Source organism: Homo sapiens, chromosome 14 (assembly GCF_000001405.40).
Source record: "Homo sapiens chromosome 14, GRCh38.p14 Primary Assembly".
NCBI lineage: Eukaryota > Metazoa > Chordata > Mammalia > Primates > Hominidae > Homo > Homo sapiens.
In genome coordinates, this window is record NC_000014.9 from 31098537 (window position 1) to 31122449 (window position 23913).

The 23913-nt window shown below is 39.1% G+C and overlaps 1 protein-coding gene and 1 pseudogene across 21 annotated transcripts in view; both read right to left on the reverse strand.

The window, feature by feature from the left end:
* Positions 1 to 1580: 1580 nt before the first annotated feature.
* HECTD1 (HECT domain E3 ubiquitin protein ligase 1) overlaps positions 1581 to 23913 on the reverse strand; it is a 107677-nt gene continuing 85344 nt past the window's right edge. For 13 of the 21 annotated variants that reach the window (XM_017021153.2, XM_011536621.3, NM_001439060.1 and 10 more), the window contains 16 exons: positions 22847 to 22969; positions 21174 to 21330; positions 17700 to 17922; positions 15750 to 15804; positions 15341 to 15523; positions 14741 to 14948; positions 14568 to 14653; positions 13880 to 14007; positions 10861 to 11062; positions 9031 to 9168; positions 8110 to 8717; positions 7054 to 7132; positions 6847 to 6940; positions 4380 to 4530; positions 2644 to 2788; positions 1581 to 2531 (listed from right to left, as the gene is read on the reverse strand). In XM_017021153.2, the coding sequence (XP_016876642.1) occupies positions 2394 to 2531; positions 2644 to 2788; positions 4380 to 4530; positions 6847 to 6940; positions 7054 to 7132; positions 8110 to 8717; positions 9031 to 9168; positions 10861 to 11062; positions 13880 to 14007; positions 14568 to 14653; positions 14741 to 14948; positions 15341 to 15523; positions 15750 to 15804; positions 17700 to 17922; positions 21174 to 21330; positions 22847 to 22969 (2718 nt within the window). In that variant the 3' untranslated portion in view covers positions 1581 to 2393. The remainder of the gene's footprint in view (positions 2532 to 2643; positions 2789 to 4379; positions 4531 to 6846; positions 6941 to 7053; positions 7133 to 8109; positions 8718 to 9030; positions 9169 to 10860; positions 11063 to 13879; positions 14008 to 14567; positions 14654 to 14740; positions 14949 to 15340; positions 15524 to 15749; positions 15805 to 17699; positions 17923 to 21173; positions 21331 to 22846; positions 22970 to 23913) is intronic. The other 8 variants (XM_047431208.1, XM_047431206.1, XM_047431204.1 and 5 more) reach the window with 1 other exon arrangement.
* RPL21P5 (ribosomal protein L21 pseudogene 5) lies at positions 13017 to 13747 on the reverse strand (annotated as a pseudogene).

Below are 23913 nucleotides of genomic sequence, written 5' to 3' on the forward strand. Positions count from 1 at the left end.
TTACAGGCTGTGTCGCCATATAACTTCACTAAGATGCTTTAAGTGACTTTTCATACTTATATTTGGCCAGCCTTACCTTGTTCTTGGACTTTTTCTGAGGAAGACTCCTAATATTTCAAAAACAGCTATGATTTTATATAAACTTTTTGTTTTTATTTTTTCGGAGACAGAGTTTCGCTCTTGTTGCCCAGGCTGGAGTGCAATGGCACAATCTCGGCTCACTGCAACCACTGCCTCCTGGGTTCAAGCAATTCTCCTGCTTCAGCCTCCAGAGTAGCTGGGATTACAGGCATGTGCCACCATGCCCGGCTAATTTTTATATTTTTAGTTGAGACAGGGTTTCACCATGTTGGTCAGGCTGGTCTCAAACCCCTGATCTCAGGTGATCCACCCTGCTCGGCCTCCCAGAGTGCTGCGATTACAGATGTGAGCCACCGTGCCCTGCCCTATTTTATGTAAAGTTATCAATTTATCTGCTGTAGCTACCTGCCAGACCAGGGTTCAGCAAGCTTTTTCTGTAAAAGGCCAAATAGTAAATATTTTAGGCTTTGTGGACCATATGGTCTCTGCTAACTACTCAATTCTGCCATTGAAGTGCAAAAGCAACCATGTAAATGAATGTACGTGGCTGTGTTTATTTGTGGACACTGAAATTTAAATTTCATAATTTTCACATAAAATATTATTCTTTTGATTTTTTTTCCCCAACAATTAAAAAATTTTAAAGCCATGCTTAGCCATGAGCCATTCAAAAACAGGCAGCAGGCCATAGTTCGCTAACCCTGGTGCCAGGCTAGTCTTGGTAAAAGCTGACTACTGATAGACATCTTAGAGACTTGTAATTATAGCAGAAGATATCTCTCATAGGCAGAGAATTTGCCTTTTAAACAGGTCGATACTGGGCAATTTCAAACATGCTTTTGGTTCCTTAAAAAACCATTTGAGCCAGGTGTGGTGATACACATCTGTAATCCCAGCTACTCCAGAAGCTGTGGTGGCAGGACTGCTTGAACCTAGGAGTTTGAGACCAGCCTGGGTAACACAGCAAGAGCCTGTCTTTAAGAGAAAAAAAAAAAAAAAAAAAAGCTATTTGGCTAAATCAGGCCTAGTGTCTTTCCTTTCACCTATAAGCACAGATATGGTAATAACTGGAATTTGGAAAATCTACTTTGGAATTTGGAAATACAGTCCCTTCTTCAAAACCAGAAAACAGCGGTATCCCCGTGTTTTGACACACAACATTTAAAAATCATTCTTGGATCTCACTTACATCCTTACTTATATATCCTTATAGATACAATAGTTAAGTTGTGGATCTGGTGTTTTTTTAAAAAAATAACACAAGTAACTGGTCAGTTCTAGCTGAGGCATACTTTAAAACTGAACCCAACCATTGGATCACAAGTGTGTGAATATATATTTCTTCTAGCCTTTCAATTTTAATACCCGTATTTACTATAGAAAAACACATTTCTTTATGTAGTAATTTCAGAAAACTTTGGATGATTCAAAATGACAAGTACCTGCTAAAGCTCTTAAGTCTGATGACTGCATTGAAATAGTCACATGACACAGTTCTGTACGCTGCAAACATTTTAATGATTATTGTTGAGCATACATTTTGGAAATTTTTTACTTCAAACGGCAACAAGTTAAATAAATGTTTATAATATACAAAGAAAATACAACCGAAAGTAAAACTCGCTGTAAGTGTGCCTTGCACTTAGACCAGGTTTTCCCCCCTTAATACATCTTTATTTTTGAGCTGCAAACACACTTAAGACTTTGATCTTCATAGTATGGCATTTAGGAAATAAAAATATACTCCCACCTTAAAGAAATAAAAAGTTTGGTGCATGATTATATGCCAAACAAAGAGAGAACACTAGAATACTCTTGATAGTGCAGGCATCATTAAAAAGGAAAAGAAAAAGCTTGAGATGCTCATTAATTCTCTATGTTTTAAGGAAGCAGGATTTTTGACCAAGTAGCTTAAAAGCCAGCAAAACAGGGATCAGTGACAGCAACTGTAGTGTATGGAGTATGAAATGACAAACTTTACACAAATACACTGTTAGAAATTTACCAGTGAACACTGAAGATCTGAGAAGCTGCTCTTTGGAACAGTCAAGTGGGACCACCTTATTCCAGTCACATAAGCCCTTGTAAAGTAACACAGTGTTCTGTGCTATATACTTGCTGGCTGGGTAGTTACAGGATTTGTTTTGTCATTAGCAGCTAAAAAACTTATTCCACATGTTCTTAAAGCCTTAATGGTGGAAAAAAAGGCAAGTGTCATTAGCATGGTGGATCATATACTTCTCTGCACACAAACACAAGAGGCTTCACTAGTATTTTTAAAGTCTCTGATGTCTCCCATTGCACTTCAAAGCTCAATTGAGATGAAAGCCTTTCTCCATTGTAGCAGCTAGCAGGCGCTCTCTCATGATCTCCTCGGAAGAATATTCAGGCAACTTAAGGTAATGCACACATGTATTGACTGATGGATAGCTTGCATCAGTAGCATCAACCTACAACAAGAAAGCAAACACAACAGAAGACCATGAGTTTAAATACTTCTTTCTTTCAAAAGTAAAGTAACTAAATTTCATTTGGATTCCCCATTAGCCAGAGAGCTTGTACCTTGCGTACAACCGTGAGCCTGGGATGCAGGTTAGCCAGTCCACCTGGGGGTAGAGTTGAACAACCAGTGGTAAACTGCAAGAATGCTTTCCTTTCATCAGAAGACATGCCACATAAAACCCTCACAAACCTCAGGAAACCAGGGCTAAAAGAACAAAAATATAGTTATATTGAGTTGACTGCAGATTTAAATGAAAATCACTACCACTATTTTCTAAGGCAGCAACAAGCCCCCTAAAAAACAATATCCTCACACCAGAACAACAACACATCTAGAGACTCTTGGTTAAGTATGAAATGGGCTAATATAAGCTACTTTAAAAATATCCCGGGCCAGGTGTGGTGGCTCATACCTGTAATCCCAGCACCTTGGGAGGCTGAGGCGGGTGGATCATCTGAGGTCAAGAGTTCAACAGCAGCCTGACAAACATGGTGAAACCCCATCTCTACTAAAAATACAAAATTAGCTGGGCGTGGTGGCGCACGCCTGTAATCCCAGCTACTTGGGAGGCTAAGGCAGGAGAATCGCTTGAACCTGGGAGATAGAGGTTTCAGTGAGCTGAGATTGTGCCATTGCATTCCAGCCTGGACAATAAGAGCGAAACTCCATCTCAAAAATAAAAATAAAAATCCCTCAAAGACTGTCTTGAACTTACAAATTGTAAGAACTAAAAAATACTGACAGTGTATGGGGTCCATCTATTCTGCAACAAAGTCAGCAAATCATAAAAACACAGGATGCACTTGCAAAATCATTTCAAATATGGATAAATATACCAAAGGGGATCTGAAATAATTTTTATTCCAGCAAAATAATTATCTTGTGATAAATTTATGTAATGAAATAGTAAATGAACGACATGCCACAACATGGATAAATTTCATAATCATAATATTACTCAAACCAGACCACAAAGAAAACAGACTACATGATTTCATATATTAAAAGTTCAAAAGCAAGCAAAACTGATCAACATATGGTGATTAGATTAATAGAAAAGAATATGGTGGGAAGGGGGATTTTTGAAGTTGTTTCATATTCTGGATACCAATTATACAGGTGTGTTCATTTTGACAAAATCCTCTAAACTGTATATATGATGTGTGTACTTATCTGTTATATTCAATAAAAAGTTTAATATAAACGTAGTATATAGCCCAACAGCTTACAATTTACCAAATTTTAAAAATGAACAATTAAAACACAATGAGGAAAGGAATCAACATCAGCCATGATGTCAGTTGTCTTTTTTTTTTTTTTTTTTTTGAGACAGAGTTTCACTCTTGTTGCCCAGGCTGGAGTGCAATGGCATGATCTTGGCTCACTGCAACCTCCACCTCTTGGGTTCAAGTGATTCTCCTGTCTCAGCCTCCCAAGTAGCTGGGATTACAGGCGTCTGCCACCACGCCCAGGTAATTTTTGTATTTTTAGTAGAAACGAGGTTTCACCGTGTTGGCCAGGCTGGTCTCAAACTCCTGACCTCAAGTGATCCGCCCGCCTTAGCCTCCCAAAGTGCTGGGATTACAGGTGTGAGCCACCGCGCCCGGCCTGCTGTCAGTTGTCTTTTTGTATCCTCCCAGCCTTATCAGTGGATATGCATTCTGGTAACTGTGAGACACCACTGCTTTCTCACTTACTTTATGATACTCACTGAATTAAAGTTCTTTAGAGAATCTGTCATTTGATTTGGGGAATATAAATAATTTTGTTGATCTTGGAAAATAGTATCACATACCTGTCACGTGTATAACCCAGCTTAGGTTCAGTGTAATTGATAATATCCTCTGCTGCCCAGGATGGTGACTGGTTTCCACAAAGAATCATTTGGACTTCTTCATGGCTGAAGGAACTTAATTTCTCCATTGGAAAAACTTTATTAAACCCATCTACATCGTACATGTAACGGAAACACAAAAAACAAACATACAACTCAGTTTCCAAGTTACGATTCCAAAATACCAAATTTCAAACCAAAATACCCATTATCAGAATCAATCTAAGTATCTATCAAGGGATGAATGTGTAAAGAAAATGTGGTATATGTACACAATGGAATACTATGCAACCATAAAAAAGAATGGGCTGGGCACGGTGGCTCACGCCTGTAATCCCAGCACTTTGGGAGGCCGAGGCAGGCAGATCATGAGGTCAGGAGATTGAGACCATCCTGGCTAACACAGTGAAACCCCGTCTCTACTAAATATACAAAAAATTAGCCGGGCGTGGTGGCGGCTGCCTGTAGTCCCAGCTACTCGGGAGGCTGAGGCAGGAGAATGGCGTGAATCCAGGAGGCGGAGCTTGCAGTGAGCCGAGATGGCACCACTGCACTCCAGCCTGGGACTCCAGCCTGAGACTCCGTCTCAAAAAAAAAAAAGAATGAAATCTTTTCATTTGTAGGAACATGGGTGGAACTGGAGGTCATTATATTAAGTGAAAAAAGCCAAGCACAGAAAGACAAGTATCACATGTTCCCACTCATATGTGGGAACTTAAAAAGTTGATCTTGGCCGGACAAGGTGGCTCACACCTGTAATCTCAGCACTTTGGGAGGCCGAGGTGGGCAGATCACCTGAGGGTGGGAGTTCGAGACCAGCCTGACCAACATGGGGAAACCCCATCTCCATTAAAAATACAAAATTAGCCGGGTGTGGTGGTGCATGCCTATAATCCCAGCTACTCGGGAGGCTGAAGCAGGAAAATCGCCTGAACCCAGGAGGTGGAGGTTGCAGTGAGCCGAGTTCGTGCCATCACACTCCAGCCTGGGAAACAAGAGCAAAAACTCCGTCTCAAAAAAACAAAAACAACAAAGTTGATCTCATAAAGGTAAAGAAAAGAATGGTATCAGAGGCTGGGAATGTTGCATGTGGGGGTGGATGAAGAGAGGTAGTTTAATGGGTACAAACTTACAATTAAATAAAAGGAGTAAGTTCTAATGTTTTCTAGCATAGTAGGGTGACTATAGTTAACAATAATATATATTTCAAAGAAGCTAGAAGAGAATAATTTGAATGTTCCCAACACATAGAAATGATAAATGTCCAAGATGATGGATGTCCTAAAGACTGATTTTATCATTACACATTCTGTGTATCAAAATGCCCCATAAACATGTACATATATTATGCAACAATAAAAAAATACCCATTACCGATGAAATGGACAGAAGATGAATATTCAACATTCATAAATGTTTGAATAAACAAGCATAAATTAAGACAGCTTGAAATTAAAACTGTATTTTAAATTAGAAATCCCTGCTTAACATCACAAACGTGAACAGAGAGAGAACATTCAGTTGCTATGGTCAGTATGCAAATTCTTATTACTACTCAGTCTGGAGTTCACCAGCTCTTTCTGTCATACAAGTCAGGCAAAACTGTGTTCTCATTTTCAAAAGTAATTTACCTTGTAATATACTTTGTTCCCATCATGATTCTTTCATGTTAATTCATCCTGATCAAGTAATCTAGAATGTATGCAACCTATGTCCACTTTCTTTCTTTCTTTGTTGAGGCAAGGTCTCCCTCTGTTGCCCAGGCTGGAGTGCAGTGGCACAAACATGGCTCACTGCAGCCTCAGCCTCCCAGGCTCAAACTATTCTCCCACTTCAGCCTTGCAGGTAGCTGGGACCACAGGCACGTGCCACCACATCTAGCTAATTTTTTAAAAAATGTTTTGTAGAGATGGGGTCTTGCCATGTTGCCCAGGCTGGTCTTGGAACTCCTGGGCTCAAGCGATCCTCCTGCTTCAGCCTCCCAAAGTGCTGAGATTACAAGTGTGAGCCACCACCACACCCGCACACCCGACCACCATCAATTCTTTTTTTTTTTTTTTTTTTTGTGCAGCGGAGTTTTGCTCATCGCCCAGGCTGGAGTGCAATGGTGTGATCTCGGCTCACCGCAACCTCACCTCCCGGGTTCAAGCAATTCCCCTGCCTCAGTCTCCCCAGTAGCTGGGATTACAGGTATGCGCCACCATGCCCAGCTAATTTTGCATTTTTAGTAGAGACAGGGTTTCTCTATGTTGGTCAGGCTGGTCTCGAACTCCCAACCTCAGGTGATCCTCCCGCCTCAGCCTCCCAAAGTGCTGGGATTACAGGTGTGAGCCACCGTGCCCAGCCGACCACCAGCAATTCTTGACCATAATTTCAACTGTCTCAAAGTGAAAGGAGAGCAATTATGCTAAAAATCCTTTAAAATTACCTCTAAAGGCTTCCATTTGTTTCTGAATACCCGTATGCATACAAAAGTCAAACATCAAATCCACATATTCTTCTGCATTATCCATTGTTATCATCTGCAAAAGAAAATTTGTCAGTATCTAGGAATATTTCAGGAGTGTCTAGTACAACTGGCCTTGCTAAGAGGATATGTCAGAACTTACAACTATATTAAAAGCAAACTTTTTACCTCATCTTCACCACTTGGCTTGAGATCCACAGCTGTAAAACCATATATTCTTGAGGAAGGGCAAAACTGGAAATTTAAACTGGGAGGACAAAAAAGATTAAATTAACTGACATGCAGCTACTACTAATGGTGTTTAATTTTTATAACATTACTATCATCTGCCATCAGTGGGTACAAGAGAAAAAATTAAATAAAATAACATGGCTATCAAAACCATAAATCCCACCCCTCTCCTCCTCCAACAAAATCAGTACACCAGCTTAGAAGTAAGTTGAGGACTTTTTAAATGCAATATTCTATGGACAAAATCTACTAGGCCAACTGTTATCAAATCTGTCTGGCTTTGCAAAGATTGCATGAAACCACCTTTCTATATTTTACTTCTAACTTATGGCACAAAATTAATGAACTAAAAATTTTGCAATGAATTATGACAGCAACATGTTTGTAAGACTTTTAGGAAGAAACTGTTGCTTTACTGAAGTCAATCACGCTGTGTACAAAAATATATATTAAAAAAAACCTTGAATATATAACCATTTATCAAACACAGTTTACCAACATTATCAGCAAACATTAAAAAAAAAAGGCCTTGCAGTTAACCTAAAATCACAGCTGAAGATATGATAATTACCTGTACATAAAGTAACAGAGTTTTATCAAAAGTTCTGCAGCATCTCAACTGCTACAGCCTTTGGTGATAAAGCTGACATACCAACCAATTTTTGAGCTTTGCAAAGTGAATCATATATTAGCAGATGAATTTGTCAAAATATTGTTGGCTCTGGACATTTTACACAGGCATATAAATTCACATTGGCTAAGTCAGGTAATCTTCTAAAGGTTTGATGATTAATAAACTAATATTCTAGTATTCTGAGTGTTGTCTTTATAATATTAAATCAAAGGTTCAAGTCGATCATCAATATTTCCTACAGCATATTACTGTTTTTGACAGACTATTTACTCATATATTGCAAATCAGTGACGACAAAGAAACAAAAGCTTTAAAACTTATTCATGCATTGGATTGAAGAATGTACATATAATGCTTACCCTAAATCCTCTATGCTAAGTGGAGGCCCAGAACCTGATGGATTCTTCAGCACTAGTTCCTGTAATTTTGTGTTCTTCTCATCTTCAGAAAGACCTTTGTTGCTTAAAATTTGGCGCCTCTTGATAGCAAGGTCTTTAATTTCTTTTAAAAATCTGGCTCTGTGTGGGTTTACTAATTCAAAGTCTTCCCAAGTCAAAATTCCATTAAACCAAGCTGGGGGTTTTGGTTTAGGGGGATCAAGAATAAATTCTGATTTTGAATCCTCTTCAAAGCTTCCTACCGAGAGTGAATCATGACCTTCTTCTGTAGAAGCTTCAGACTGACTTTCAGTACAGTGTAAGTCTCTATCACCTCGTGACTCATAAATCAGTTTACTCATATTGCTTTTAATGTCACCCATACACATAAGTTTAAAAAAAGGTTTAGAAATAGGTAAGTCCACAAGTCTATTGTCTTGAATGCATTTGGCCAAGAAAATTCCAAGGAAATGAAACAGTTTCGTGATCCTTTCAAGCTCATCACTATCCTGTGGAAATGGTGCTGTGAACAGTCCACATGACCTCTGCACATAATATCCAGGAGGTTTCAATCCACCTCCAAGATCAACCTAATTTTTTAGAGGGTGAAATGCAAATAAAATTAAACAAAAGTTAATAGAAACTAAGCCTATCATCATCTAAGAAAAAAATCCATAAACATTAAACATCTTCATGAATTTGGCTATCTAAAAGTATATAATTTTATTAAATAGCTTTTGGTGACTAAATTTTATCGCTTTAGAACTATTTTAATTGCATCAAGATTATTCAATAATAAAAGTAGAGTCAGAAACCTGGCTTATGCTCTGAACACATAACCTATTTTTAACACTTTTGAAAGCAGAGTCACAACTCAAGTCACAAAATGAGAAATATTCTTACGTGACGAGATTCATCATCTGGAAAATTATCATCACAAAGCCAAGCTCCCAAGTCAGTTCTCTGGAATTCTGCTGCCACCAGAGCATAAAACTCTAATGTGGGTCCCAAGCCAGTTCCTTCTTCTCCTAAAAATTCAACCTAAAATATGAACAAATAAATTGTGGGTTAAACGTAAAGTTTGGGGTGTTTTTAAAAATAATCTAATTCTTGTCAAAATTTATCATATCTGATCCAGTAATGTACCTTTTTTCAAAATAGCAGTGTATATATATAATAAACAGCACAGAAGTGTTATTTTAATTTTCCTAAAGAGTCCACTTGTTGTACACTATTACATGCTTAAGCACTGTGCCAAGCATCATTCATACATTTACTTCTCACAACAACCCTGCAAAATAATTATTTCCTTTTTACACCAAAGGAAACCAAATCTCAGATAAGGAGGTTAAATCATTTGCTTGAAGAAATGATGGTGAACAGACTTTTGTGTGTCTCTGTGTGACACCAAAGCCTAGACTCTTCCACTTTTTAATTTTTATTTTTTGAGACAGTTTCACTCTTGTCGCCCAGGATGGAGTGCAGTGGCACGATCTCAGCTCACTGCAACCTCTGCCTCCCGGGTTCAGGCGATTTTCCTGCCTCGGCCTCCCAAGTAGGTGGGATTACGGCATGCACCACCATGCCTGGCTAATTCTGTATTTTCAGTAGAGACAGGGTTTTACTATGTTGGTCCGGCTGGTCTCAAACTCTTGACCTCAGGTGATCCACCCACCTCAGCCTCCCAAAGTGCTGGGATTACAGGCATGAGCCACTGCGCCTCGCCTCTTCTGCTTATTTCTGAGTTAAAGACACTTTAAATCATTTTTGCAACAGGAAGAGTATGGACAAAAACCCTTAAAGTGATTGCATAAAGTATAATAAAAACTACAGCATATGGTTAAAAAAAAAGATTATCTATATTAGAAGAATGTAAACAACTGGGCATGGTGGCTCAAGCCTGTAATCCCAGCACTTTGGGAGGCCGAAACGGGTGGATCACTTGAGCCCAGGAGTTTGAGACCAGCCTGGGAAACATAGTGAGAACTTGTCTCTATTAAAAAAAAAAAAAAAGAAGAAGAAGAACATAAGGGTAGGAGGAATACAATGAAAGTCTGTATATAAAGTGAAAGATGTAAAGCCTTGGACATCTTCTAGAGATGTATCATATTTCTTGCAATTAGTTTATGATCCAAAAGTTAAAAACAAACCAGTTGGATTCACCCCTGTGACAGGAGACGTATTTCCACTCTTCCTCATATAGGGAATACTGTGTATATGAAATAAAACCAACAATGTCCACAGTAACATTTCTAAACTAAATATATTAAATGTCATACTACCATTTGCTATAACATGTCTCAACACAGACCAGTGATATAATACCAAGCACAATTCAAGTGAAACAATATTACAAAACCAGGTGCTCCCAAAATATCAAACAGCACAGTTTAATGTAAAAGTAAAAAAGAATCCCTTGTGAGTACTACTATTTTAGTCCAACTTTGTTATGAAATGGGTAGAAGCCCTCAAGCAGAACAAGCACTTTGCCACCTCAAGAGTGGAGATCTTCTTTGTTGCTCATTAATGGCACAAGACCTAACCCCTAAGGAGGTGGACTGACATCCTCTTATGAAAAAGATGCTCTGCCAGAGGAGAAGGCTTCTGCCTACAGAACAGGAAAACCCCTCTTCATGTTTACCTACCACAGTTTTTAATGCAGTGAAGATACACATTGGGCTGGTTCCCTAAGTGTCATTCCTGTTCCCTAAATCTAATTTTATATGAGATTACCTCAAGAACTGATTTCCGATCTGCATGTATTTGCATGACATTCTCAGCCCATTCCATCAGTGACTCGCCACGTGGAACTTTTACTCTTTCATGCTTGAGACGACCAACTCGAAACTCTCCAGGGTCATCTCGCCTAACACTGCTTGTGGTTCTCGTTCGCTCCACAGTGGCTTCACGTCGGTTCTGTAACCATACTATTGCTCTGAAATAGAAAAATATCTATGAGCTGCAGCATACGTTAACAGCTGAATGTACTACTAAACCAGCAACAGAATTCAAAGATTTAAGAAATTAAAAAATAGTATTTTATCAGGTGATTTTTAAAACACAGTAATCTTTTTTTGTTACATAAACTGCTTCCTGTCACAAGTAAAAATATATGAAACTCCTTTTATTATAATCTGCCTTAAGCAAACTGAGAAAGTACTGGGTCTATATTTTGCCTCCTTATTTTAGCAGTTCAATAAAAATAATAATCTGTTGTCCAAGCCCCAACATCATTCAAAAAAAGGAAAAATGTTTCCTATCAGAGAAATTTAGAAATGATTAAGCTATCTTTCAAACTGAAAGCCGCCATCAAAACGGTAATTATAATTTTAAAACAATTTTTCTTTTTTTTTTTTGAGATGGAGTCTTGTTCTGTCACCCAGGCTGGAGTACAGTGGCATTATCTCGGCCCACTGCAACCTCCCTATCCCGGGTTCAAGTGATTCTCCTGCCTCAGCCTCCCCAGTAGCTGGGATTACAGGTGTGTGCCACCACGCCCAGCTAATTTTTGTATTTTTAGTAGAGATGGGGGTTCTGCCATGTTGCCCAGGCTGGTCTTGAATTTCTGGCCTTAACTGATCCACCCGCCTCAGCCTCCCAAAGTGCTATGATTACAGGCATGAGCCGCCACACCCGGCCACATTTTCTTTTTTTTAATAACAATCCATTTATGGTGGGAGGAAGAACCGACAATTAGGAATAAGAAGCTGAAGGTTCTACTCTCATGTGTGCTACTATTTTCTCATGATCTTAGGCAAATCAGCTAAGTACGTGCAGAATCAATTTCCTCATTTATAAAACAAATTATAATCAATGCCAGTTATCACAACATGCCTATAGTTCTATGTATATAAATGCTTTGTAAATGGCATTAAATGGTACAAAAATGTAACTATCAGGGAAGAAAACAAACAGTTTAAATTATAACTTTTTTTTTACAACTATTTTGGAAGAGTACTTAAGGTAAACAATCATTCAACAAAATATTTATTGAGCACCTACAATGAGTCTTGCTCTGTTGCCCAGGCTGGAGTGCAGTGGTGCAATCTCAGCTCACTGCAACCTCTGCCTCCCGGGTTCAAGCAAATTCTTATGCCTCAGCCTCCTAAAAAGCTGGAATTACGCCCAGCTAATTTTTGTGTTTTTTTGTAGAGATGGGGTTTTGCCACATTGGCCAGGCTGGTCTCGAACTCCTGGCCTCGAGTGATGTGTCTGCCTTGGCCTCCCAAAGTGCTGGAATTATAGGCATGGGCCACCGTGCCCAGCCTGAAAACAGAAACTTTTTAAATGCTTTTTTTTTTTTGGTAAATTACTTCTTCCATGATTAGAGGGACTATCTTCAAAGTAGTACAAATATTTCGTAAATAATATCTGACCATTTTCTAACCAATTGAGTAATTTGTTGCACAATAAGCCATCTCACATCTTTCAGCAAGAAATACATTAAATTTGAATAGTAAAGACATTACACAATTAGGCTTAGGACAAAATTAAAATTTGCCTGAAGTATTTCTTTGGGGGAGAGGACACCACACTTCTACTCAAGGAAGAGAAACATTTTTACAGTCCAGAGGTCTTTTATTTTTATCTTTATTTTTTATTTTTTTGAGATGGAGTCTCGCTCTGTCGCCCAGGCTGGAGTGCAGTGGCACAATCTCTACTCACTGCAAGCTCCACTTCCCAGGTTCACGCCATTCTCCTGCCTCAGCCTCCCAAGTAGCTGAGACTACAGGTGCCCACCACCACACACAGCTAACTTTTTGTATTTTTAGTAGAGATGGGGTTTCACCACGTTAGCCAGGATGGTCTCGATCTCCTAACCTCATGATCTGCCCGCCTCGGCCTCCCAAAGTGCTGGGATTACAGGTGTGAGCCACCGCGCCTGGCTATTTTTTTTAAACACTATTATGCATGAATTCACAGAGAAGAGGTTCCAGCAGCTCAGACTTCTTTCCCTTGGTTTTCACACAGCGCGCTTCTCTGGGTGGAACAGGCTGGCACTTCAGCTAAATGCAGGTACCTTTCTCTTTGGCTTCCTTCTTTTTCTGATCATTTTCCTTCATGTGTTTCAGGAAGCTATCTCGGCTCTTAGAGTGCTTAATGTGCTCAATATGCACATTAATTCTCTTGGTAAGAATCTTGCCCTTGTTTGTTTACAACAATGCCATTAGCCACGCGTGGTGGCGTGCACCTGTAATCCCAGCCACTCAGTGGGGCTGAGGCAGGAGAATCGCTTGAACCTGGGAGGCGGAGGTTGCAGTGAGCCGAGATCACACCACTGCACTCCTGCCTGGGCGACAGAGCGAGACTCTGTCTCAAAAAAACAAAAACAAAAACAAAAACAAAAAAACAGCAATGCCAACAGCCTGCTGGGTAACACTGTAGACTCTTCCAGTTTAGCCACGGTAACACTTGTGGGGCATTCCTTTTTGAACAGTACCCATTCCCTTAATGTCTACAGTATCACCTCTCTTTTAGATTTGCATATACGTGGCCAAAGGAACAACTCCATGTTTTCTAAAAGACCTAGAAAACATCTATCGGGTATCTCTCCTCCTTTCCTTTGGATTAGTCATTTTGGCGAATTACTAGAAGATTGGTAGTTCAGGCCAAAAGGCAATGCTGACTATTCTTTATAAGAATACAAGATAATATATTCCCTCTATCAGTCTTGACAGTATAGTTGTACATTTTCAACTTACATAACATAAAAGCATACTTATTCTAAAAACATAAAAAAAAGGCTTCTTACCTTGAGGCGCCAAATGCTGTACATGTGAAATAAAGCTGTCTAGTTTCAAATGGTATTAGAAAAGGACATTTGCTGGTTAATTGTTCACACCAGTCTGGCAGAGCCCCACTTGCCAGTGCCAATGGTTCCTGCGAATTAACAAATAATAATGTCTTAGTGCTATAAGGCATTCATGCATGCATGCATTCATTCATTCGTTCATTTTTTTTTTTGAGACAGAGTCTCACTCTGTTGCCCAGGCTGGTGTGCAGTGGTACGATCTCGGCTCACTGCAGCCTCTGCCTCCTGGGTTCAAGCGATTCTCCTGCCCTAGCCACCCAAGTAGCTGGGATTATAGGCATGTGCCACCGTGCCCAGCTAATTTTTGTATTTTTAGTAGAGACTGGGTTTCGCCATATTGGCCAGGCTGGTCTCGAACTCCTAGCCTCTAACGATACACCCACCTTGGCCCCCAAAATGCTGGAATTACAGGCATGAGCCACCACACCTGACCCTATAAGGCAATTATTAAAAATTACCAAGTCAATTATAAACCTGTAATTAGGAAATAAATGCAAAGGACCATATAGCTCAAATTACCAATCAGAGGGAAGGGAAAGATGGTGAGAGGTAGAAAAGAAAGTAAAGGGAATATTAGGAAAAGTCCAACAGTAATAGAATGAAGAGTTCAGCTGTCTGATTTTATTACCTCAATCTGCTGTAATATTTTTGTTGTAATTTTTTTGCTAGTGAATTCATCTGGTGGAAAAGTAAACTGAGGCTGTTCATCACCATCTATAAAATTAATTAATAAAATTAATAAAAATATAAACTGACTTGCTTTAAAACTGCTATAGAAATGAAACAAGGCTTCTTACAGACCTTCCTGGGATATTCTTGAATAAGGGTCACTTGCAACTATATATAGAATACGCAGAAGCTGAAGGACATCTTCTACTCCACAAGAGTTCTGTCCATTGCCTGCTTTGGCCTGAGGTTGTTCTTTTGTTAAATTAAGAATATCACTACTTTGAAGAGTAGAAATGGCCCCCTGGTTTAACCCAGACTTTGTTCCATGCTCACAAAAATCCTATAGAAACAATTAGAAAAACTGGCCATTAATCACATTTTCAAGAAAAACAGTGTATCATTGTATCAATACCACTATGAAAGGGTTGGAATTTTTTAAAGTGCCTTCTTTTTAAATAAAAACATAACACAAGACATAAATCAAGGCATTCTAAACCATTAAAATTCCCAAATAAAATATAACCACTCTAAGCCATGGTCAAAGTCTGCATTCAGATCCAATGCTACCAGCCATATTTGAAATTTTAGAATTTGTGCATTAACAGTGTTAATTCAACCTCATTTTTAAAATTATGTCTCAATGAACTGCTGTTCCTTAAGAAGCTTCCAAAGCTGCAAAACAAAGCACGAAGCCATTTGCAATCAAAATAGTGTTTTGATGCCAATATATACCTTATATGCAGCTATGAGCTGAGAACAATTTCTGTTTTTCCTAATACTTTTATTAGTGCCAGTTAATTTCCAGTGGCGCAGGAAAGCAGCGTCTGCATTCTTCTGCAGGTAGGTTATCAAGTCATTCTTTGGTAATTCATCAGTGCCAAGGTACTGCTCCACATGCTCTATAGACCAGCAACCCTACAACAGGAAAAACCAAATGTTGGCCTTTCCCAATTATAAAGTCTATGATATTTCACATGCATTACATGAGGTAGCTTTAAGATCATGCACTTGGTCTAATCTAAAGAATTCCATGTTAGTCATTATTCCCTTCAACGTTCAACTGCAATACTGTGTTAGTTTTACTATCTTTCTTCTTTTAACTAAATAGCCAAGAGTAAACCAATGTTCTAAAATAACTTACCATTTTTCCATTTTCCTTTTCTTTATCAGAATCCTTCATTTCTCTGTACATGATTCTAAACATGAAGATATTCAAGTTAATTCATATATAATTTGTGATTATTTCCAATAAGGCTTCAATTCTTTAAAAAAAAAAGTGAATGTCATTCACTAGACATATGCCTGCACTGAACACTGAACTCAAGGAGGATTCTTTTTTTCTATATTTTTTGTAGAGATAAGGTTTTGCTATGTTGTCCAGGCTAGTTTCAAACTCCTGGTTTCAAGCGATGCTCCTGCCTTGGCCTCCCAAAGTGCTGGGATTAAGGTGTGTCACGACACCCAGCCTCAAGGAGTATTTTTAAGAAAAAATGTTAATTTGTTAAACATAAGGCAAAGTAGCAGAAACCATATTCCTGAATTATGATTTATAAATTTATCATTATTACAAAGAAAGCATGTATCAAATCTAGAACTTTTAAAGATATGACTGTATCAAGTGTTATGCAGCATTAGGTGATCTGGTGGTTGTGAAACATCACTGAGTACATTACACAAAACAAAATGGTATAGCCTACTATCTACGTAGGCTATGTGTTATAGCCTATTTTTCCTAGGCCACGAACCTTAACAGCATATCACTGTACTGAATAGGCAACTGTAACACAATGGTATTTGTGTATCTAAACATAAAAAAGGTACAGTAAAAATGTGGTTTTATAATCTTATGGGACCCCTGTCATACATGGTCCATCACTGACTGAAAAGTTGTTACATAGCACATGGCTATAACTGTTGTAAAAATACAATGGGATAAGAAACAGGTTCTCTGTGTCTAGATGGAAAGAAGGATAGAAATAACAATGATCAGGAGTGCTTATGTTCAAATAAGGCAGTTGAGATCAATTTTTAAACTGTAATAAAAATTGAAGGGAGGTTTTCCTAGCTCTTGGGAACTTGGGGAAAAAAAACTGAAGGGCGGGAGAATACCGTTATGATTTTCTGTTCTATTTCAAAAGGACCTACATTACTTTTATTGGCCATTACATAAGATTATCAGTGATGTTAAGAGAACATCAGAAAACATACTAATAGAAGTGAAGTTACAGTAAGAATGATGATATAATTTATTATTATTAAATAACAATTACTTTATAGATAACATTTACTGAGCACTTAATATATCCTAGGGGGTATTGAAAACACTTTGCAGGCCAAGCACAGAGGCTCAACACCTGTAATCCCAGCACTTTGGGAGGCTGAGGTGGACGGATCACTTGAGCTCAGAAGTTCGACACCAGCATGGGCAACATGGTAAAAACCCCATCCCTACAAAAAATACAAAAATTAGCTAGGCCTCGTGGTGCACACCTGTAGTCCCAGCTACTCAGGGGACTGAGGTGGGAAAATCACCTGAGCCTGTGGAGTTTGAGGCTGCAGTGAGCCATGATCGCACCACTGCACTCCACTGCACTCCATCCTGGGCAACAGAGAGAGACCTTGTCTCAGAAAAAAAGAAAAGTAAAGAAAACACTTTATACATGTTAATTCATTAATTCCTTAAAACCACTCTCATTTTATAGATTAGGAATGTGAGGCACAAAAATGTTAAATAAATTTACCCTAAGTCATTGATGATTATTTGTACAAAGAAAGGCAGGTGTTAACCCACACACCCCCAAAATCAAGAACAGAAAGAAGATAGTTAGTACTCATACACGATCTTAGACAAAGAATTCAAATGACGCTCTTTTCAACAATTACGTAAGAAGCTAGTATAGACTGTAAATGTCCTTCTACTTCTAAAACTTAATCATTCTACACCAAGAGTCCCAAACACTATTATCTGTTCCTGTAAGCCAACAGAATAAAAACAAAATCTTTTCTGTTCCTATAATCCAAAATAAATGCAATGCTTCTTGGCTCTACACTAGGACATTATCTACCAAAACATTAAGTTAAAATTTCTTACGTGTATGTGGGCTCCCAAATACGCCTAAGTTTATCTGATTTCACATTGCCATTACAGGACAATTGAAGCAATTTTTGTACATAGTAAAAGATGGTTGATCTGAAATTGGTGAGTGGTAATTCAACTTCACGAGTCGTTCCAAGACCTGTTACTTTCAAAGTGAGAGCTAATCGAGGTGACGGAGTACATTCGACTTCTTCCAAGAGCTCTGAATGAGGGGTCCCTAAAAATTTGGAAGATGGGTGAAAAACAATTATACTAAAACAAGCAGTCCAAGAAAGGCCACTACACTAGGAAACAAGGCTACATGAAATCCAAACCTCTCTGCCATATATTAGCTAAAGGATGTCAGCTACTTAAGACTCTCTAGGCGTCGACATTTTTGCTTTCTGTTTCTTTTTTTTTCTTTTTTTGAGATGGAGTCTTGCTCTGTTGCCCAGGCTGGAGTGCAGTGGCGTGATCTCAGCTCACTGCAACCTCCGCCTCCCAGGTTCAAGCAATTCTCCTTCGTCAGCCTCCCGAGTAGCTGGGATTATAGGTGCCCAACACCACATCTGGATAATTTTTGTATTTTTAGTAGAGACGGCAGGTTTCACCATGTTGGCTAGGCTGGTCTCAAACTCCTGATCTCAAGTGATCTGCCCGTCTCAGACTCCTGAAGTGCTGGGATTACTACAGGCATGAGCCACTGCACCCAGCCTGTTTTCTGTTTCTTTTGTAATGGAAATAATTACACCTACGTTACTGAAAGAGTGCTAGAACAGAATACATGTGTATGATAGAGAGCTCTCTCATTTTTACATGAAAATAATACTAACTGTATGAATACTTCGGAAACATTTTAATTTTATAAATGAGGCCAGGAGCAGTGGCTCATGTCTGTAATCCCAACACTTTGGGAGGCCGAGGCGGGTAGATCACTTGAGGTCAGGAGTTGAGACCAGCCTGGGTAACACAGTGAACCCCGTCTCTACCAAAAATGCAAAAATTAGCTGGACATGATGATGCCCGCCTGTAGTCCCAGCTACTCAGGAGGTTGAGGCAGGAGAATCACTTGAACCTGGGAGTGGAGGTTGCAGTGAGCCGAGATCACACCACTGCACTCCAGCCTGGGTGACAGAACGAGACTCCATCTCAAAAAAAAATTTTTTTTATAAATGAGAAAACTAAAAGTATCCATACTCAGAGAAAACCACATATTCTGGGCCAATGACGTGTCAACCTTTTATCACACTGAATAACTGCATCATGAGGTAAACACATATACACACACACATATAATTAGTTTCATAATGTATTTGGAGAATGCTCTCATTTTTTATTAGCTCATGAATGTTTTCTTCATTATCATGATCGTCTTCTAAAATATTATTTCTTTCACTGCACAATATCCCACTGTACCTAAACAGAGGCATATCCCAGTTACTGGACATAATTAAGGTCATTTCCAATTTTTTGAAAATATAAATACTTCTACAGTCACCTATGTGTACAAAACGGGGTACAGAGCTAATATTTAAAATTACCAATGGCAACAACACTTTGTCAGAAGATACAAAATATACTGGCAGAGAGCTCTACAAAAAGTTTGTGCCTATTTATACTCTCTAGAATGTGTTTTCCTTTTTTATAATTCATTTTTTTTCTCTGAGATCCAAAGAAACAAGATTTTCCTTTTTGAAGGGACCTTAGAACACCTTGATTCAGTCTATCTATCCTCCCCAAAGAACATTTATACAACCGAGTATACTTACTTTCATATTTAATACAGGTGTCTTTTTTTGTTCGAGACAGAGTCTCACTCTGTCACCTAGGCTGGAGTGCAGTGGTGTGATCTTGGCTCACTGCAACCTCTGCCTCCCGGGTTCAAGCAATTTCTCCTGCCTCAGCCTCCTGAGTAGCTGGGATTACAGGCGCGCACCACCAAGCCTGGCTAATTTTTGTATTTTTAAGTAGAGACGGGATTTCACCATGTCGGTCAGGCTGGTCTTGAACTCCTGACCTTGTGATCCACTCGCCTCAGCCTCCCAAAGTGCTGGGATTACAGGCGTGAGCCACCGTGCCCAGCCTAATACTATCAGGCTAAAAAATACACTCCTCACTTAATCAACAATTTAAATCTTTGTTAAGGATAATTTACTGATTATAATAGCTGACATTTATTGAGACACACATCAGGCAGCATGCTAAGCACTTCACATACCTTACTTCATTTAAGCTTTTTAACTACCTTGTCAAACAGGGACCTTTATTCTCTCATGTAAGAGATGAAGAAATTCAAGCTTGGATAGTTTTGGTGACTTGCCCAATATATCAGTTTCCTACTGCTGCTATAAAATATTACCACAAATTGGGTGGTTTAAAATAACACAAACTTGCCAGGCACGGTGGCTCACGCCTGTAATCCCAGCACTTTGGGAGGCCAAGGTGGGTAGATCACTTGAGGTCAGGAGTTCGAGACCAGCCTGGCCAATGTGGTGAAACCCCGTCTCTACTAAAAATACAAAAATGAGCTGGGCATGGTGGTGCATGCCTGTAATCTCAGCTACTCAGGAGGCGGAGGCAGGAGAATTGTTTGAACCTGGGAGGCGGAGGGTGCAGTGAGCCGAGGCTGTGCCACTGCACTCCAGCCTGGGTGACAAAACAAGACTCCATCTCAAGGGAAAAAAAAAAAAAAAAAAAAAAAAAAAACTACCACAAATTTATTATCTCATAGTTCTAGAGGTCGAATGCCTAAAATGGATTTGCAGGGCTTCATTCTTTCTAGAGGCTCTAGAGAAGAATCTGTTTCCTTGCCTTTTCTAGCATCTAGGAGCTGCCCACATTCCTTGGCTCACTGCTCGTCGTCACTCTGACTCCTGTTTCCTTAGTCACATGTTCTTCTCTGTCTCCTGCCTCTTGTGATTACACTGTGTCCACTTGGATGATCCAGGATTATCTCCCCTTCTCAAGATCCCTAATTACATCTCCAAAGTCTCTTTGGTCTGCTTTGATAATATATCATAAGTTCCAGAGGTTAGAACCTGATTTTGGGGAGAAATTAGTATGCCTACCACAATCTAAAATAGAGTTTTGTAAGGGATAAGGTTGTCACCCAGGCCAACTGACTCTAGAGGGCATGACTGTAACCACTGGATAGCCTTTCAAAACTGAGAGGAATAAATCCTTAGAAATTTTGATCCAGTAGAAAATACAGTAAAAATTTCCCACCTTTAAATGGGACTTTGCCTTAAAAATTGCACAAATACAAAACACATGTTGGTTTTTAAAATTTGAAATAATTTGTAATTTGCTCCTTTAAAAAAACCTTTACTTTTTAAAGAATTTGTGGCTGACTAAAAAAATTTTTTATAACCTGCATACACAAAACTAAAAAAAAATTTTTAATAACGTGCATACAAAAGCAACACCCTACTTTTCATATCTGATTTAGTATGTATTAAAATTAAATCACAAAACCAAAACATTCTGTACCTGGGGGTGGTATTTCTAGATCAGTTGTCTGCTGGACATTAGTACGACCAGGTCTAGGATCAAAAGCAGGAACCAATGCAGAAAACTGTCTCTTTAGCACATAATCATCATCCCATGTTCTCCGGCGTCCTCCTTTAGTTTCGTACTCTTCTTCTTCCTATCAAAATAAAATTTCACACACAAACATAATAAGATGCAAAATTTCATTGTTGCAAAAGCAATGTGTTATTTAGAACTACTGCATTTCCTTAGCCATATTTCTTAAACCCAAAATGAGCTAACCTAAACATGTATAGATACATACATTTCTTCATCATTTCAGTTTACCCAAAGTAAGTTGCATCAGTGATGGTTATACAAATCTACACATTTCACCAAATGATAACCATTCATGGCCAGACATGGTGGCTGAAGCCTGTAATCCCAGCACTTTGGGAGGCTGAGGCAGGCGAATCACAAGGTCAGGAGTTCGAGACCAGCCTGGCCAACATGGTGAAACCCCATCTCTACTAAAAATACAAAAAATTAGCTGGGCATAGTGGCAGGCGCCTGTAATCCCAGCTACTCGGGAGGCTGAGGCAGGAGAATCGCTTGAACCTGGGAGGCGGAGGTTGCAGTGAGCCGAGATCGTGCCACTACACTCTGTACTCCACCCCGGGAGACAGAGTGAGGCTCTGTCTCAAAAAAAATAAAAAGATAACCATTCACAAACATCCTCAATTTCCTGGCTTTGTTACTATACTAAAATTAGGTAATATGAAACTAGCCAATGGCAAAAATTAGGTAAAGGGCACATAAGACCTCTCTGGAGTATTTTCGCAACCTCCTATGAACCTATAATTATTTTAAAATAAGTTGGTTTTTAAAACGTAAATTACATTTTGTACTGAATTACTTATATACCAAATAAAATGCTGGGGAGTTGCTTTAAATTACTATGAGGCAGACAGCATGTAAGTACACACGTGCACATCCACAGTTTGGTTTAAACACTTAACTGAAACAAACTGACATTTGACAGCTCTGGTTTCAGAATGTTTGGGTTTGCATCCTGGAACCAAAACTACTATTACATGTATGACTTTTAGCAATTACTTCATCTGAAAATTAGGGCTAACAATAACCCTAAAAAGGTTGTTTTGTTGGAAAGAATTAGTTAATATACATAAAGTATTAAGAACTATGCTGGCAAGGCACAGTGGCTCATGCCAAGGCAGGCAGATTGCTTGAGCCCAAGAGTTCAAGAACAGCCTGGGCAATGAAGCGAAATCCTGTCTCAAAAACAAAAACAACTCTAGCACTTAGTTAGTGATCATTAAGCGTTAGCTATTAATAAACTACTACTGCTGCATCTACTACCACTTCTACTACTACTAAAACTACAAATCTTAGATACCATATATTAACCATTTTAATGTATGTTTACTATTACCCAAAGCAACGTAAAGGGGTTTCAAGCATTAAACTCCTGCATGCATTATGTCACAGCAATCATGGATTCTATATAGAATATGAAACCCAACCAGTAGGGGAAGTTTCTTTGTGTAACTGTTTGGTAGCTCCCTCCTCTCACCCCTTCCACACTGCACATTTTTGTAGGCATTTAGGTTGGTGCTTTACTATAAAAGGGAAAAATATACATATGGTAGGGAAGATAAACATGAAGATATTACCTGCTCCCCAATAGGTCGGCTCCCTGCTCCAGCAGGTACCTGTGGTAGCTGCGAGGTAACAGCATGATGCGTTACATCAGAGCGGGAGCCAGCTCGACGTTGCAGGGATGGGCGTCTCAGAATCTAAAATAAAACAATCCCAAGAGATACATGTCTAATTATTTGACCCATATATGCCCCCTTTCAGCCATGACCTGAATATATTAACCCCTATTAACAAAAGTGTCACTGAAAACTTTTTCATTAGCCAACTTCAGAAAAGTTATGAGTTCAATGTTTTAAATTCATCATGCATTTTATACTAACCTCCTTCATAAGAAGTATTGTGTTTTCTTAGCAACCATATACTAAAAGCATTTTTTAAATTTCTTTACTCCATTAAAACTCAACTTATCAATTTTTTTGAAATCTAGTAACATTTTATAAAGAGAAATTTTAAATTTACAGTTAGTTACAATAAAGGGTATTTTTTAGGCACAATTTTCAGTTAGAAGACAATCCTAGTGGTTAAATATTGAGAGTTCTGGATCACATTGCCTATGCTTGGGTCCTCACTCTTCCACTTAACTCTGATGATAAGGGCAAATTTTTTTTTTTTATGCCTCTACTTCATTCCTTCATGTGACAACTAATGAAAAAACAGATGGACCCTGCTTGCAAAACCATAGGTACTAAAAAACAAACTCCAGGGCCACTTCAGCCTCTTGAGTAGCTGGGATTACAAGCACAAGCCACTGCACTGGGTAAGTTCATACACTGTGTGTGTGCTTGGGTGTGTGTGTGTCAGGGTCTCATTCTGTGGCTCAGGCTGGAAAGCAGTGATGCAATTATAGCTAACTGCAGCACGAGCCACTGCACTGGCTAAGTTCATACACACACACGTGTGTGTGTGTGTGTGTGTGTGAGATTCTGTGGCTCAGGCTGGAGTGCAGTGACACAATTATAGCTCACTGCAGCATGAGCCACTGCACTGGCTAAGTTCGTGTGTGTGCGCGCATGTGTGTGTGTGTGTGTGTGTCATTCTGTGGCTCAGGTTGGAGTGCAGTGATGCAATTATAGCTCATGGC